This window comes from Homo sapiens, chromosome X (assembly GCF_000001405.40).
Source record: "Homo sapiens chromosome X, GRCh38.p14 Primary Assembly".
Lineage (NCBI taxonomy): Eukaryota > Metazoa > Chordata > Mammalia > Primates > Hominidae > Homo > Homo sapiens.
The window spans coordinates 53,958,538-53,974,354 of NC_000023.11; the positions used below are offsets into that span (position 1 = coordinate 53,958,538).

The 15,817-nt window shown below is 43.7% G+C and overlaps 1 protein-coding gene across 12 annotated transcripts in view, besides 1 other annotated feature; it reads right to left on the minus strand.

Annotated features, from left to right (window-relative positions):
* PHF8 (PHD finger protein 8) overlaps positions 1-15,817 on the minus strand; it is a 112,257-nt gene that overhangs the window by 21,858 nt on the left and 74,582 nt on the right. For all 12 annotated transcript variants that reach the window (XM_005261996.2, XM_011530778.2, XM_047441934.1 and 9 more), the window contains one exon: positions 4,307-4,402. In XM_005261996.2, the coding sequence (XP_005262053.1) occupies positions 4,307-4,402 (96 nt within the window). The remainder of the gene's footprint in view (positions 1-4,306; positions 4,403-15,817) is intronic.
* Positions 14,159-14,453: a silencer, noted in NCBI's record as "tiled region #5322; K562 Repressive DNase matched - State 9:DNaseU". NCBI's record gives its function as "represses a minimal TATA promoter and a strong SV40 promoter by Sharpr-MPRA in K562 cells {active_cell/tissue: K562}" and the evidence as "EXISTENCE:reporter gene assay evidence [ECO:0000049][PMID:27701403]".

Below are 15,817 nucleotides of genomic sequence, written 5' to 3' on the forward strand. Positions count from 1 at the left end.
TTGGGAGGCCGAGGCGGGCGGATCACGAGGTCAGGAGATCGAGACCATCCTGGCTAACACGGTGAAACCCCATCTCTACTAAAAGTACAAAAAATTAGCATGGTGGCGGGTGCCTGTAGTCCCAGCTACTCGGGAGGCTGAGGCAGGAGAATGGCGTGAACCCAGGAGGCGGAGCTTGCAGTGAGCAGAGATCGCGCCACTGCACTCCAGCCTGGGCGACAGAGCAAGACTCCCTCTCAAAAAAAAAAAAAAAAAAAAAAAAAAGCTGATAACACTAGTTGACTCCAGGTGGGTAAGTAGAAGGCTACTAACAGGGCTGGGAAGGAAACTTTTCATTGTATAACCTCACATACTTTGGCCCCTCTAAGGTTTCATGGTGATCCATCCTGAGTAAATAATCAGAGATATAAACATTTACATATAAAGATATTGACTCCAAATGTACTAATTGTAAAAACTTGAAAATAGCCTATATGTTAGAAATTACATATATATTAGGTATATCCATGGAACTGATATCTTGTAGCCATTAAAAATATTATTTATAAACAATGGCATAGGAACATGCTTATGATATAATATTAACTTAAAAGACCAGATGTCTCTATTGGTTTTCGATATTTACAGTTAATTTCTAGTCAATGTAGAGTAGTAACAACAATGTATATGTTAATAAACTTGACAGCATAAACAAAAAATTATGGTTCACAGAAGGTTACAAAAGGGAATGTACCCCTCCCCTATAAATGTACCTTTTACTTAATCCATACTCAACTCCAAGAGTCTCTGAATGTACCACATACAATTTCATGCCCTTCTACTTTGCATCCTTGCGGCAAATGTCCTTCTAGATTCACCTAATTCTGATTCATTCACACAACATCCATTTAGTGTGGTGAATAACTTCATGAGTTACTTTACTAACTCACCCTTCAAAATTCAGCTTTAGATTTACTTCCCACAAGGGAAAAAATGGTTCACAGAAGGTTACAAAAGGACCCTATGGATGTAGGGTCACCAACAACTGTATCTTACAAAGTAGGTAATCAAGAGAGATTGACGGCCTGTAATCACAGCACTCTGGGAGGCCGAGGCAGATGGATCACTTGAGGTCAGGAGTTCGAGACCAGCCTAGCTAACATGGCAAAACCCCATCTCTACTAAAAATACAAAAAAATTAGCTGGGTGCAGTGATGCGCGCCTATAGTCCCAGCTACTTTGGAGGCTGAGGTATGAGAATCGTTTGAATCCAGGAGGCGGAGGTTGCAGTGAGCCAAGATTGCACCACTGCACTCCAGCCTGGGCCACAGAGCGAGTTTCTGCCTCAAAAAAAAAAAAAAAAAAAAAAAAGGGAATGATGTAAGTTGATTAAAGGAGAAATAGACTTCATAAACCAAGAAAGGGTGGCATACTTCTCTTGAGTTTTGGAGGCATCTACCAGGAAACGAAAACTATGAGGTTGTCTCTTGGGAACGGGATTGCAGGTGGGGAAAGTAGGGGCAGAAGAACATTGCTTTTCCTCCTAAATTTTTCTATACTTTTTTGTGTGTGTGTGAGAGACAGAGTCTCGCTCTGTCACCCAGGCTGGAGTGTAGTGGCGCGATCTCGGCTCACTGCAAGCTCCACCTCTCAGGTTCATGCCATTCTCCTGCCTCAGCCTCCCGAGTAGCTGGGACTACAGGCGCCTGCCACCACGCCCGGCTAAGTTTTTGTATCTTTAGTAGAGACGGGGTTTCACCGTGTTAGCCAGGATGGTCTCGATCTCCTGACCTTGTGATCCACCCGCCTCGGCCTCCCAAAGTGCTGGGATTACAGGCGTGAGCCACCGCACCTGGCCTAATTTCTCTATACTTTTTGATATGCTACACCCACTACTTTGATCAAAAGCTCAAACAAAATTTTAAAGTACAGTGCATAATTGTATACATGTGGCCAGGCGTGGTGGCTCATACCTGTAATTCCAGCACTTTGGGAGGCTGAAGCGGGCAGATCATGAGGTCAGGAGTTCAAGACCAGCCTGGCCAACATGGTGAAACCCCATCTCTACTAAAAATACAAAAAATTAGTCAGGCATGGTGGCACCTGCCTGTAATCCCAGCTACTTGGGAGGCTGAGGCAAGAGAATAGCTTGAACCCGGGAGGCGGAGATTGCAGTGAGCCAAGATCCCGCCACTGCACTCTAGCCTGGGACAGAGCTAGACTCCATTTAAAAAAAATTTAAAAAAAAATTTAAAAAATTGTACACACATGTGATTTAAACAATAAAAATTAAAAAATGTATAGGGAAAAGACTATAAAGAAACATGTCAAAATGTTAACATTGGTTGCTTCTGGGTGGCGGACTCGTGGGTGGTTCCTTCTTCATAATTCCCTTTATTTTCAATATTTTCTAAATTTTCTACTGTGCTAACCAGAAAAATTTACTTTGACAGGAAAAATAAACCTGGAAATGATAGAAGAAAATAAAATTTAAAAATAGGCCTAAGTTTTCTTTTTTTTTTTGAGATGGAGTCTCGCTCTGTTGCCCAGGCTGGAGTGCAGTGGCATGGTCTCGGCTCAGTGCAACCTCCGCTTTCCGAGGTTCAAGCAATTCTCGTGCCTCAGCCTCTCGAGTAGCTGGGACTAAACGCACATGCCACCACATGCAGCTGATTTTTGTATTTTTAGTAGAGATGGGGTTTTACCATGTTGGCCAGGCTGGTCTCAAACTCCTGACCTCAAGTGATCCACCCGCCTCAGCCTCCCAAAATGTTGGGATTAAAGGCATGAGCCACACTGCACCTAGCCAAATTTTTTTTTTTTTCCCCGAGACGGAGTTTCCCACTTGTTGCCCAGGCTGGAGTGCAATGGTGCAATCTCAGCTCACTGCAACCTTGGCCTCCTGGGTTCAAGCAATTTTCCTACCTCAGCCTCCCAACTAGCTGGGATTATAGGCGCCCGCCACCATTCCCGGCTGATTTTCTATTTTTAGTAGAAACGACGTTTCACCATGTCGGTCAGGCTGGTCCTGACCTCAGGTGTTCTGCCCGCCTTGGCCTCCCAAAGTGCTGGGATTACAGGTGTGAGCCACCAGGCCCGGCCCCAATTTTTTTTTAAAAAGAAACATTTACTGATTAACTCACTAACATAACACTTCTGAGGAATGCCCTGCTACCCCTATGTCACCCCCTCGACCTCAAGCAAACACCAAAAAGTCTAAATAAGGCAGGGTGAGAAGAGCAAGCCCTTTATCTGCTGGGGAACCACAGGTACTGAAATCCCAATGACCTCTATGGCAGACTGTTGCAGTAATGGCCTTCAGTGTGCTCATGTATCCTCGTATGCATGATACTTTGCGATGTGACTTTGCAGTTCTCCTCTCAAAAGGTGCAATCTATTTCCCAACCATGGGATCAAGGCTTGGCCACGTAACTTGTTTTAGTCAATGGGACAACAGTAAATATGACTTAAGCAAAGGCTTGAAAAGTGCTTGCACATTGGGGCTTGTCCTCTCTTGCTGCTAGAAACCTTTCTGCCACCTTGTGGAAAAGCTTGGTAGACTAAAGACCATGTAGAGAGAAGCCTTGGCCATCTTAGATAGTAGGTCTTAGTAGGACTTAGATAGTAGGTCTGAGACACCTGAAGGAGAACTTTTGAGACCATTCAGCCCCAGGGAATCTGGCCTAGACTAGAAGAACAGCTCAGCCAACCTACAGAATTATGAAAAATTATTAACTGTTATTTTAAGCCACTAAGTTTTGGGCAGACTGTTAAGCAGCAAAAACTAACTGAAGGATGCATCCTCAGTGTGAATACTATCCAGCCAAGGAGACGAAGAAAATTCTTCCATTATCCTCTAAACTCCATGTTCAACTCAGTGGTCATTCTTCCCTCCTCAGAGATGGCCTCTCAGTATAGGTGATAATCTTGGGCCTTATAGAGCTCAACAGTCAGCAGAATTTCCCTCCTTGACAACAAAACTACCAGAGTACTGGGATGATGGTATCAGAACGTTCTCAGAAGCCTCAGACTGCTTGCTAAAATCTGTTCAAGGTCTTCCTTTCACCTCAAACCATATAATATCAAATGCAATATGCTCCATTACCTCTGATTTTATTGGACTAATTACATAAACTCTGTGTCTTATTAGTCATTTTAGCTCCAGAACCTAACACAGTGCCTGACACACAGCAGACACTCAACAAATGTTTGCTGAATAAACAAATGAGTGACTGAATCAGGTCTTCTGATATTAAATATCCCACCTACCTTGTCTATTTCCTCCTGACCACCCCTACAGAGTTTAAGGGACAAAATACTAGATTACCTTTAGGACTCCATGGAGCATCATCTGAATTCTTCTTTTTCTTGGGTCGAGATTTCAAAGCAGGGTCATCATCATCAGACTCCAGTGAAGGATAGACTGCAGGGAGAAGGGAAAACAGGGTAAAATGAGATTTCATCCAAAGGGTGAAGATAGAATGACACCTACTCCAGCTCCTGCCCTTCCCCTACAAATGTACCTTTTACTTAATCCATACTCAACTCCAAGAGTCTCTGAATGTACCACATACATTTCATGCCCTTCTACTTTGCATCCTTGCAGCAAATGTCCTTCTCCTAGATTCACCTAATTCTGATTCATTCACCCAACATCCATTTAGTGAATAACTTCATGAGTTACTTTACTTACTCACCCTTCAAAATTCAGCTTTAGATTTACTTTCCACAAGAACTCTTCCCTCCCTCTCCTAATCATGATTGAGATGCCTCCTACTTGGCTCTCCATAGCTTCCTGTGCATCCCTCTACTGAAGCTGTTATATGGTATTTAAGAGCTGATTAGCAAATCTGTTGCCTCCAATTTACCATAAGGGCAGGAATATGTATTATTTATTTCAAATTAAGGGAGCCTACTAGCACACTGAAGCACAAGTTCTCAGTAACTGTTTACTAAGTGAATGAAGAAATAAACAGTACATACTTAATGCACACAAAGGGAACAAAAAGATCACCTGGGCTGAAAAAAACAAACAATCCCATCAAAAAGTGGGTGAAGGATATGAACAGACACTTCTCAAAAGAAGACATTTATCCAGCCAACAAACATATGAAAAAATACTCATCATCACTGGTCATTAGAGAAATGCAAATCGAAACCACAATGAGATACCATCTCAAGCCAGTTAGAATGGTGATCATTAAAAAGTCAGGAAACAACAGATGCTGGAGAGGATGTGGAGAAATAGGAATGCTTTTACACTGTTGGTGGGAGTGTAAATTAGTTCAACCACTGTGGAAGACAGTGTGGCGATTCCTCAGGGATCTAGAACGAGAAATACCATTTGACCCAGCAATCCCATTACTGGGTATATACCCAGAGGATTATAAATCATTCTACTAGAAAGACACATGCACACGTATGTTTATTGCAGCACTGTACACAATAGCAAAGACTTGGAACCAACCCAAATGCCCATCACTGATAGACTGGATAGAGAAAATGTGGCACACATATACCATGGAATACTTTGCAGCCATAAAAAGGATGAGTTCGTGTCCTTTGCAGGGACATGGATGAAGTTGGAAACCATCATTCTCAGCAAACTAACACAGGACAGAAAACCAAACACCGCATATTCTCATTCATAAGTGAGAGTTGAACAATGAGAACACATGAAAACAGGGAGGGAAACATCACACACTGGGGCCTGTGAGGGGGAAGGGGGCTAGGGGAGGGATAGCTTTAGGAGAAATACCTAATGTAGATGACGGGTTGATGGGTGCAGCAAACCACTATGGCACATGTATACCTATGTAACAAACCTGCACGTTCTGCACATGTATCCCAGAAACGTATAATTTAAAAAAAGGAAAAATAAAAGAAAGTATGGTAGGTACACACAGCAGTTATTATGCAGCCTTAAAAAAAGGAAAGCTATCACATACTACAACATGGATGAACATGGAAGATATTATGCTAAGAAAAAAAGGCCAGAACAAATGCTATACAATTCCACTCTTACAAAGTACCTAAAGGTGTCAAAATCATAGAAATAGAAAGTAGAGGTCGGGCGCAGTGGCTCATGCCTGTAATCCCTGCACTCTGGGAGGCTGAGGCAGGTGGATCACCTGAGGTCATGAGTTCGAGACCAGCCTGGCCAACATAACGAAACTCTGTCTCTATTAAAAATACAAAAAAGTAGCTGGGCGTGGTGGCGCGCACCTGTAATCCCAGCTACTCAGGAGGCTGACGCAGGAGAATCACTTGAACCTTGGAGGCGGAGGTTGCAGTGAGCCAAGATCGTGCCACTGCACTCCAGCCTGGGCAACAAGAGCAAAAACTCTGCCTCAAAAAAAAAAAAAAAAAAAAGAAAAGAAAGAAAGTAGAAGGTGATGACCAATGGCTAGAGGGAGGAATTAGTGTTTAGGGGTATACAGTTTAAGTGTTGCAAGATGAAAAAGTTATAGAGATCTGTTGCACAACAATGTGAATATACTTAATAGTACTGAACTATACACTTTAAAATGATTAAGATGGTAAATTTGTCAAGTCTAACGGAGCTTAAAGGTAAATAATGGAAAAAAGATGATAAATTTAATGGTATGTGTTTTTTACCAAAAAAAAAGAACATGCACGTGCACGTGTGCACACACACACACGCACGCACACACACACGAAGAGGGTGCAGGGAAGGAGGAGTGACACCACTGATAATGGAGTAATAGGGAGCTAAAATGATCTGTCCCTCCACTGAAACAACCATCAACCTGGCAAAAACTGTCAGAACAACTTTTATGGAACTCTGGAGTCCAATAAAAATCTCACAACAACAAGGGGTGATTAACAAAGAAAAAGGCTGCTAAATCATGTCTTTAAGAAACTCCAGATGCAGGCGGATCACTTGAGGTCAGGAGTTCAAGACCAGCCTCGCCAACATGGCAAAACCCTGTCTCTACTAAAAATACAAAAATTAGCCACGCGTGGTAGCACATGCCTGTAATCCTAGCTACTCGGGAGGCTGAGGCACGAGACTTGCTTGAACCCGGGAGGTGGAGGCTGCAGTGAGCCAAGATTGTGCCACTGTACTCCTGCCTTCCAAACAAACAAAGTTGTCAGGAAATCTCTATCAGAAAGTCTCAGCTTACTAATGAGGCTAAGGAATGGAGACTCAGTAACTGCACAATAAGGAATACAATCTTTGTAAAAAGTAGTTGGGAAAAGTCACTAAATAATAGATGACTGCAGTTCATAACAAGCAACAAAAGCAAACTGAGGAAGGAAAATTTGACTTCCAGAGTAAACCACATTATAATATTCAAAATTTCCAGTTTCCAACAAAAAAAACCATGAGGCATGCAACGAAAAGGGAAGTATGGCCCATTTACGGGGGAAAAAAAAAGAGAAACTGACAAAAACTGTCCCTAAGGAAGCTCTGACATTGTATTTACCATACAAAGACTAAATCAACTAGGCTGAAAGAGCAAAAGGAAACCACTGACAAAGAACAAAAGGAAACCAGAAGAATGATGTCTTAACAAAAAGAACAAAAAGCAGCAATAGAAAGATAACTGGAATACCTCTAACACATAAAAATTAAACATACTTTTAAATAAACATGGGTCAAAGAGGAGATCCCACAGGAAAACAGAAAATATTTCCATTAATAAAAGTGAAATTGTCCCTCTCCCTCTCCCTCTCCCTCCTCTCCCTCTCCCCACGGTCTCCCTCTCCCTCTCTTTCCACGGTCTCCCTCTGATGCCGAGCTGAAGCTGGACTGTACTGCTGCCATCTCGGCTCACTGCAACCTCCCTGCCTGATTCTCCTGCCTCAGCCTGCCGAGTGCCTGCGACTGCAGGCGCGTGCCGCCACGCCTGACTGGTTTTCGTATTTTTTTGGTGGAGACTGGGTTTCGCTGTGTTGGCCGGGCTGGCCTCCAGCTCCTAACCGCGAGTGATCCGCCAGCCTCGGCCTCCGGAGGTGCCAGGATTGCAGACGGTGTCTGGTTCACTCAGTGCTCAATGGTGCCCAGGCTGGAGTGCAGTGGCGTGATCTCGGCTCGCTACAACCTCCACCTCCCAGCCGCCTGCCTTGGCCTCCCAAAGTGCCCAGAGTGCAGCCACTGCCCGGCCGCCACTCCGTCTAGGAAGTGAGGAGCGTCTCTGCCTGGCCACCCATCGTCTGGGATGTGAGGAGCCCCTCTGCCTGGCTGCCCAGTCTGGAAAGTGAGGAGCGTCTCTGCCCGGCTGCCATCCCATCTAGGAAGTGAGGAGCGCCTCTTCCCGGCCGCCATCCCATCTAGGAAGTGAGGAGCGTCTCTGCCCGGCCGCCCATCGTCTGAGATGTGGGGAGTGCCTTTGCCCCGCCGCCCCGTCTGGGATGTGAGGAGCGCCTCTGCCCGGTCGCGACCCCGTCTGGGAGGTGAGGAGCGTCTCTGCCCAGCCGCCCCATCTGGGAAGGGAGGAGACCCTCCGCCTGGCAACCGCCCCATCTGAGAAGTGAGGAGACCCTCCGCCCGGCAGCTGCCCCGTCTGAGAAGTGAGGAGCCCCTCCGCCCGGCAGCCACCCCGTCTGGGAAGTGAGGAGCGTCTCTGCCTGGCAGCTGCCCCATCCGGGAGGGAGGTGGGGGGTCAGCCCCCCGCCCGGCCAGCCGCCCCGTCCGGGAGGTGAGGGGCGCCTCTGCCCGGCCGCCCCTACTGGGAAGTGAGGAGCCCCTCTGCCCGGCCAGCCGCCCCGTCCGGGAGGGAGGTGGGGGGGTCAGCCCCCTGCCCGGCCAGCCGCCCCGTCCGGGAGGGAGGTGGGGGGGTCAGCCCCCCGCCCGGCCAGCCGCCCCGTCCGGGAGGGAGGTGGGGGGTCAGCCCCCCGCCCGGCCAGCCGCCCCGTCCGGGAGGTGAGGGGCGCCTCTGCCCGGCTGCCCCTACTGGGAAGTGAGGAGCCCCTCTGCCCGGCCAGCCACCTCATCCGGGAGGGAGGTGGGGGGGTCAGCCCTCCGCCCAGCCAGCCGCCCCGTCCGGGAGGTGAGGGGCGCCTCTGCCCGGCCGCCCCTACTGGGAAGTGAGGAGCCCCTCTGCCCGGCCACCACCCCATCTGGGAGGTGTGCCCAACAGCTCATTGAGAACGGGCCATGATGACAATGGTGGTTTTGTGGAATAGAAAGCGGGGAAAGGTGGGGAAAAGATTGAGAAATCGGATGGTTGCCATGTCTGTGTGGAAAGAAGTAGACATGGGAGACTTTTCATTTTGTTCTGTACTAAGAAAAATTCTTCTGCCTTGGGATCCTGTTGATCTGTGACCTTACCCCCCAACCCTGTGCTCTCTGAAACATGTGCTGTGTCCACTCAGGGTTAAATGGATTAAGGGCAGTGCAAGATGTGCTTTGTTAAACAGATGCTTGAAGGCAGCATGCTCGTTAAGAGTCATCACCACTCCCTAATCTCAAGTACCCAGGGACACAAACACTGCGGAAGGCCGCAGGGTCCTCTGCCTAGGAAAACCAGAGACCTTTGTTCACTTGTTTATCTGCTGACCTTCCCTCCACTATTGTCCTATGACCCTGCCAAATCCCTCTCTGTGAGAAACACCCAAGAATGATCAATAAAAATAAAAATTAAAAAAAAAAAAAAAGTGAAATTGCAACATAAAACTTGGGGGACGCAAAGAAAGCTCTGCTTAGAGGAAAATTTAAAGTACTAAATGTTTACATTAGAAATTAAAAATATCTCATGAGAAAGGAATCATTACAACTGATATCACAGAAATACAAAGGTAGAGACTACTATGAACAACTATACACCAACAAATTGGAAACTGGGAAGAAATGGATAAATTCTTGGACACATATAACCTACCATGCTTGAACCATGAAGAAACAGAAAACCTGAACAGACAAGAAGTAATGAGACTGAAGCAGTAATAAGAAGTCTCCCATCAAATAAATGCCCAGAACCTGATGGATTCACTGCTGAATTCTACCAAACATTAAAACAACAATTCTACCTTAACTCAAAAAACTGAAGAGGAGGGAATACTTCCACAAAACTCATTCTATGAGGCCAGCATTATCCTGATACCAAAACCAGAAAAAAATACAACAATTAAAACTACAGGCCTCGCCGGGCACGGTGGCTCACGCCTGTAATCCCAGCACTTTGGAAGGCCAAGGTGGGCAGATCACCTGAGGTCAGGAGTTCGAGATCAGTCTGGCCAATATGGTGAAACCCCATCTCTACTAAAAATACAAAAAATTAGCTGGGCGTGATGGCGGGCATCTGTAATCCCGGTTACTTGGAGGCTGAGGCAGGAGAATCGCTTGAACCCAGGAGGCGGAGGTTGCAGTGAGCCAAGATTGCGCCACTGCACTCCAGCCTAGGTGACAGAGCAAGACTCCATCTCAAAAAATAAAAATAAAAGAACTGATAAACAAATTTAGTAAAGATGGCTGGGTGCAGTGGCTCATGCCTGTAATCCCAGCACTTTGGGAGGCTGAGACGGGCAGATAGCTTGAGCTCAGGAGTTTGAGACCAACCTGGGCAACATGGTAAACCCTCATCTCTACTAAAAATGCAAAAATTAGCTGGGTGTGGTGGTGGGCACCTGTAGTCCCAGCTACTTGGGTGGCTGAGGTGAAAGGACCACTTGAATCCGGGGGACAAAGGTTGCAGTGAGCTGAGATCATGCCACTGAACTCCAGCCTGGGTGACAGAACGAGACTCTGTCTCAAAAACAACAACAACAAAAAAAACACCTCAGTAAAGTTGCAGGATACAAAATCAACATACAAAAATCAGTAGCATTTACATGTGCTAACAGTGAATGATCTAAAAAAAAAACTAAAAAAAGCAATCCCCTTTACAATAGCTACAAAAAACTTAAAATACCTGGGAATAAATTTAACCAAATAATTGCAAGATCTCTACAAGGAAAACTACAAAACACTGATGAAAAAAATTGAAGGGGACACACAAAAAATGGAAAGATAGCATATGCACATGTATTGGAAGAACTAATATTGCTAAAATGTCTATACTACCCAAAAACGATCTATAGATTCCATGCAATCCCTAACAAAATACCAATGACATTCTTCACAGAAATAGAAAAAGCAATCCTAAAATTCACATAAAACTGCAAAAGATGCCAAATAACTAAAGCAATACTGAGCAGTAAGAACAAAGCTGGAAGCCTCATACTACCTGATTTCAAATTATATTACAAAGCTACAGTAACCAAAACAGCATGGTACTGGCATTAAAACAGATACATGGGCCAACAGAACAGCATAGAGAATCCAGAAATAAATCCACCCACTTATAGCCCACTCACTTTCCACGAAGGCACCAAGAACATTCACTGGGGAAAGAACAGTCTCTTTAATAAATGGTGTCAGGAAAACCGAATACCCATATGCAAAAGAATGAAACTAGACCTTTATCTCTTGCCATATACAAAAAAATCAATTGAAAATGGATTAAAAGACTTAAATGTAAGACCTGAAACTATGAAACTACTACAAGAAAATACTGGGGAAATGCTATAGGACATTGGTCTGGGCAAAGATTGTTTTGGAGTAAGAACTCAAAAGCACAGGCAACAAATGCAAGAATACACAAATATAATTACATTAAGCCAAAAAGCTTCTGTACAGCAAAGGAAACAATCAACAAAGTGCAGAGACAACCCACAGAATGGGAGAAAATATCTGCAAACTATCCATCTGACAAGGGATTAGGATTAATAACTAAAATATATAAGGAACTCAATAGCAAAAAACAAATAATCCAATTTAAAAATGGGCAAAATACCAGAACAGACATTTCTCAAAAAAAGACATAGAAATGGCCAACAGGAGCTCCTAAAGGAAGTACTTTAGTAAAAACACACTGAAGTATACAGACCAGTGACACTATGAAGCAACCATATAAACAAGTCTACAAAATAACCAGCTACCATCATGATGACAGGATTAAATTCACACGTAACAATATTAACCTTAAATGTAAATGGGCTAAATATGCCCCAATTAAAAGACATAGAATGGCAAGCTGGATAGAGTCAAGACCCATCAGTATGCTGTCTTCAGGAGACCCATCTTAAGTGCAGACACACATAAGCTCAAAACGAAGGGATGGAGGGAAATTTACCAAGCAAATGAAAAACAGAAAACAGCAGGGGTCACAATCCTAGTTTCTGACAAAACAGACTTTAAATCAACAAAGATCAAAAATGACAAAGAAGGGCATTACATAATGATAAAGGGTTCAATTCCACAAGAAGACCTAACTATCCTAAATATATATGTACCCAATATAGGAGCACCCAGATTCGTAAAGCAAGTTCGTAGAGACCTACAAAGAAACGTAGACTCCCACACAAAAATAGTGGGAGACTTTAATACCCCACTGACGATATTAGACAGACCATCTAGACAGAAAATTAACAAAGATATTCAGAACCTGAACTCAGCTCTGGATCAAGTGGACCTGATAGATATCTACAGAACCCTCCACCCAAAAAACAAAATATACATTCTTCTCATCACCACATGGCACTTTAAAATTGATCACATAATCGGAGGTAAAACACTCCTCAGCAAATGCAAAAGAACTGAAATCATAACAGTCTCTCAGACCACAGCACAATAAAATTAGAACTCAAAACTAAGAAATTCACTCAAAACCACACAACTACATGGAAACTGAACAACCTGCTCCTGAATGACTCCTGGGTAAATAATGAAATTAAGGCAGAAATCAAGAAGTTCTTTGAAACTAATGAGAACAAAGAGACAATGTATGAGAATCTCTGGGATGCAGCTAAACCAGTGTTAAGAAGGAAATTTATAGCACTAAATGCCCACATCAAGAAGCTAGAAAGATCTCAAAATTCACAACTAAAAGAACTAGAGAACCAAGAGCAAACAAATCCCAAAGCTAGCAGAAGACAAGAAATAACCAAGATCAGAGCTGAACGGAAGGAGACAGAGACACGAAAAACCCTTCAAAAAAACAAAAAATCAACAAATTCAGGAGCTTCTTTTTTGAAAAAATTAATAAAATAGATAGACCATTAGCTAGACTAATGAAGAACAAAAGAGAGAAAATCAAACAGACACAACCAGAAATGATAAGGGAGATATCACCACTGACTCCACAGAAATACAAACAACCATCAGAGAATACTATAAATACCTCTATGCACATAAACTAGAAAATCTGGAAGAAATGGATGAATTCTTGGACACATACACCCTCCGAAGAATGAACTAGGAAGGAACTGAATCCCTGAATAGACCAATAATGAGTTCAGAAATTGAGGCAGTAATAAATAGCCTACCAACCAAAAAAAGCCCAGGACCAGAGAGATTTATAGCTGAATTCCACTACAGGTACAAAGAAGAGCTGGTACCATTTCTACTGAAACTATTCCAAAAAATTGAAAAGAAGGGACTCCTCCCTAACTCATTTTATGAGGCCAGCATCATCCTGATACCAAAACCTGGCAGAGATACAACAAAAAAAGAAAACTTCGGCCGGCTGCGGTGGCTCACGCCTGTAATCCCAGCACTTTGGGAGGCCGAGGCAGGCAGACCACGAGGTCAAGAGATCAAGACCATCCTGGCCAACATGGTGAAACCCCGTCTCTACTAAAAATAGAAAAATTAGCTGGGCATAGTGGTACGCATCTGTAGTTCCAGCTACTCGAGAGGCTGAGGCAGGAGAATCACTTGAACCCAGGAGGCAGAGGTTGCAGTGAGCAGAGATCACGTCACTGCACTTCAGCCTGGTGACAGGGCAAGACGCTGTCTCAAAAAAAAAAAAAAAAAAAAAAAGAAAAAGAAAACTTCAAGCCAACATCCCTGATGAACACTGATGCAAAAATCCTCAATAAAATATGAGCAAACTGAATCCAGCAGCACATCTAAAAGCTTATCCGCCACCATCAGGTTGGCTTCATCCCTGGGATGCAAAGTTGGTTCAACATATGCAAATCAATAAACGTAATTCATCACATAAACAGAACTAAAGTCAAAAACATGATTATCTCAATAGATGCAGAAAATACCTTTGATAAAATTCAACATCCCTTCATGTTAAAAACTCTCAATTATCTAGGTACTGAAGGAACATACCTCAAAATAATAAGAGCCATATATGAAAAACCCACAGCCAGTATCATACTAAATGGGCAAAAGATGGAAGCATTCCCCTTGAAAACTGGCACAAGACAAGAATGCCCTCTCTCGCCACTCCTATTCAACATAGCATTGGAAGTTCTGGCCATGGCAACCAGGCAAGAGAAAGAAATAAAGGGTATTCAAACAGGGAGAGAGGAAGTAACATTATCTTTGTTTTCAGATGACATGATCCTATATATAGAAAACCCCATCACCTCAGCCCAAAAGCTTCTTCAGCTGATAAGCAACTTCAGCAAAGTCTCAGGATACAAAATCAATGTGCAAAAATCACAAGCATTTCTTTACACCAACAACAGACAAGCAGAGAGCCATATCATGAATGAACTCCCATTCACAATTGCTACAGAAAGAATGTAATACCTATGAATACACATAACAAGGGAAACGAAGGACCTCTTCGAGGAGAACTACAAACCACTGCTCAAGGAAATGAGAGAGGACACCAACAAGTGGAAAAATATTCCATGCTCCTGGACAGAAAGAATCAATATCGTGAAAATGGCCATGCTGCCCAAAGTAATTTACAGATTCAATGCTATTCCCATTAAACCACTATTGACATTCTTCACAGAATTAGAAGAAACTACTTGAAAATTCACATTGAATGAAAAAAGAGCCCAAATAGCCAGGACAATCCGAAGCAAAAAGAATTAAAGCTGGAGGCATCACGCTACCCGACTTCATACCACAAGGCTACAGTAACCAAAACAGCATGCAACTGGTACAAAGACAGACACATAGACCAATGAACAGAATAGAGAACCCAGAAGTTAGACCACACACCTACACACATCTAATCTTCGACAAACCTGACAAAAACAAGCAATAGAGAAAGGATTCTCTATTTAATAAGTGGTGCTGGGGAGAACCAGGTAGCCATATGCAGAAAATTAAAACTGGATCCCTTCCTTATACCATATACAAGAATTAACGCAAGATGAATGAAGGACCTAAATGTAAAACCCCAAACTATAAAAACCCTAGAAGAAAATCTAGGCAATACCATTCAGGACATAGGCACAGGCAAAGATTTTATGACAAAAATGCCAAAAGCAATTGCAACAAAAGTAAAAATTGACAAATGGGATCTAATTAAATTAAAGAGCTTCTGCACATCAAAAGAAACTATAATCAGAGTGAACAGACAACCTACAGAATGGGAGAAAATTTTTGCAATATATCCATCTGGCAAAGGTATAATATCCAGAGTCTAAGAGGAACTTAAACAAATTTATAAGAAAACAACCCCACTAAAAAGAAGACATTCAGCCGGGCGCGGTGGCTCACACCTGTAATCTCAGCACTTTGGGGGGCTGAGGCGGGCGGATCACGAGGTCAGGAGATGGAGACCATCCTGGCTAACATGGTGAAACCCAGTCTCTACTAAAAATACAAAAAAATTAGCTGGGCGTGGTGGCAGGCGCCTGTAGTCCCAGTCCCAGCTACTCGGGAGGCTGAGGCAGAAGAATGGCATGAACCCGGGAGGCGGAGCTTGCAGTGAGTCGAGATTGTGCCACTGCACTCCAGCCTGGGCGACAGAGCGAGACTCCGTCTCAAAAAAAAAAAGAAGAAGACATTCATGCGGCCATCATATGAAAAAAAGCTCAACATCACTGTTCATTAGAGAAATGCAAATCAAAACCA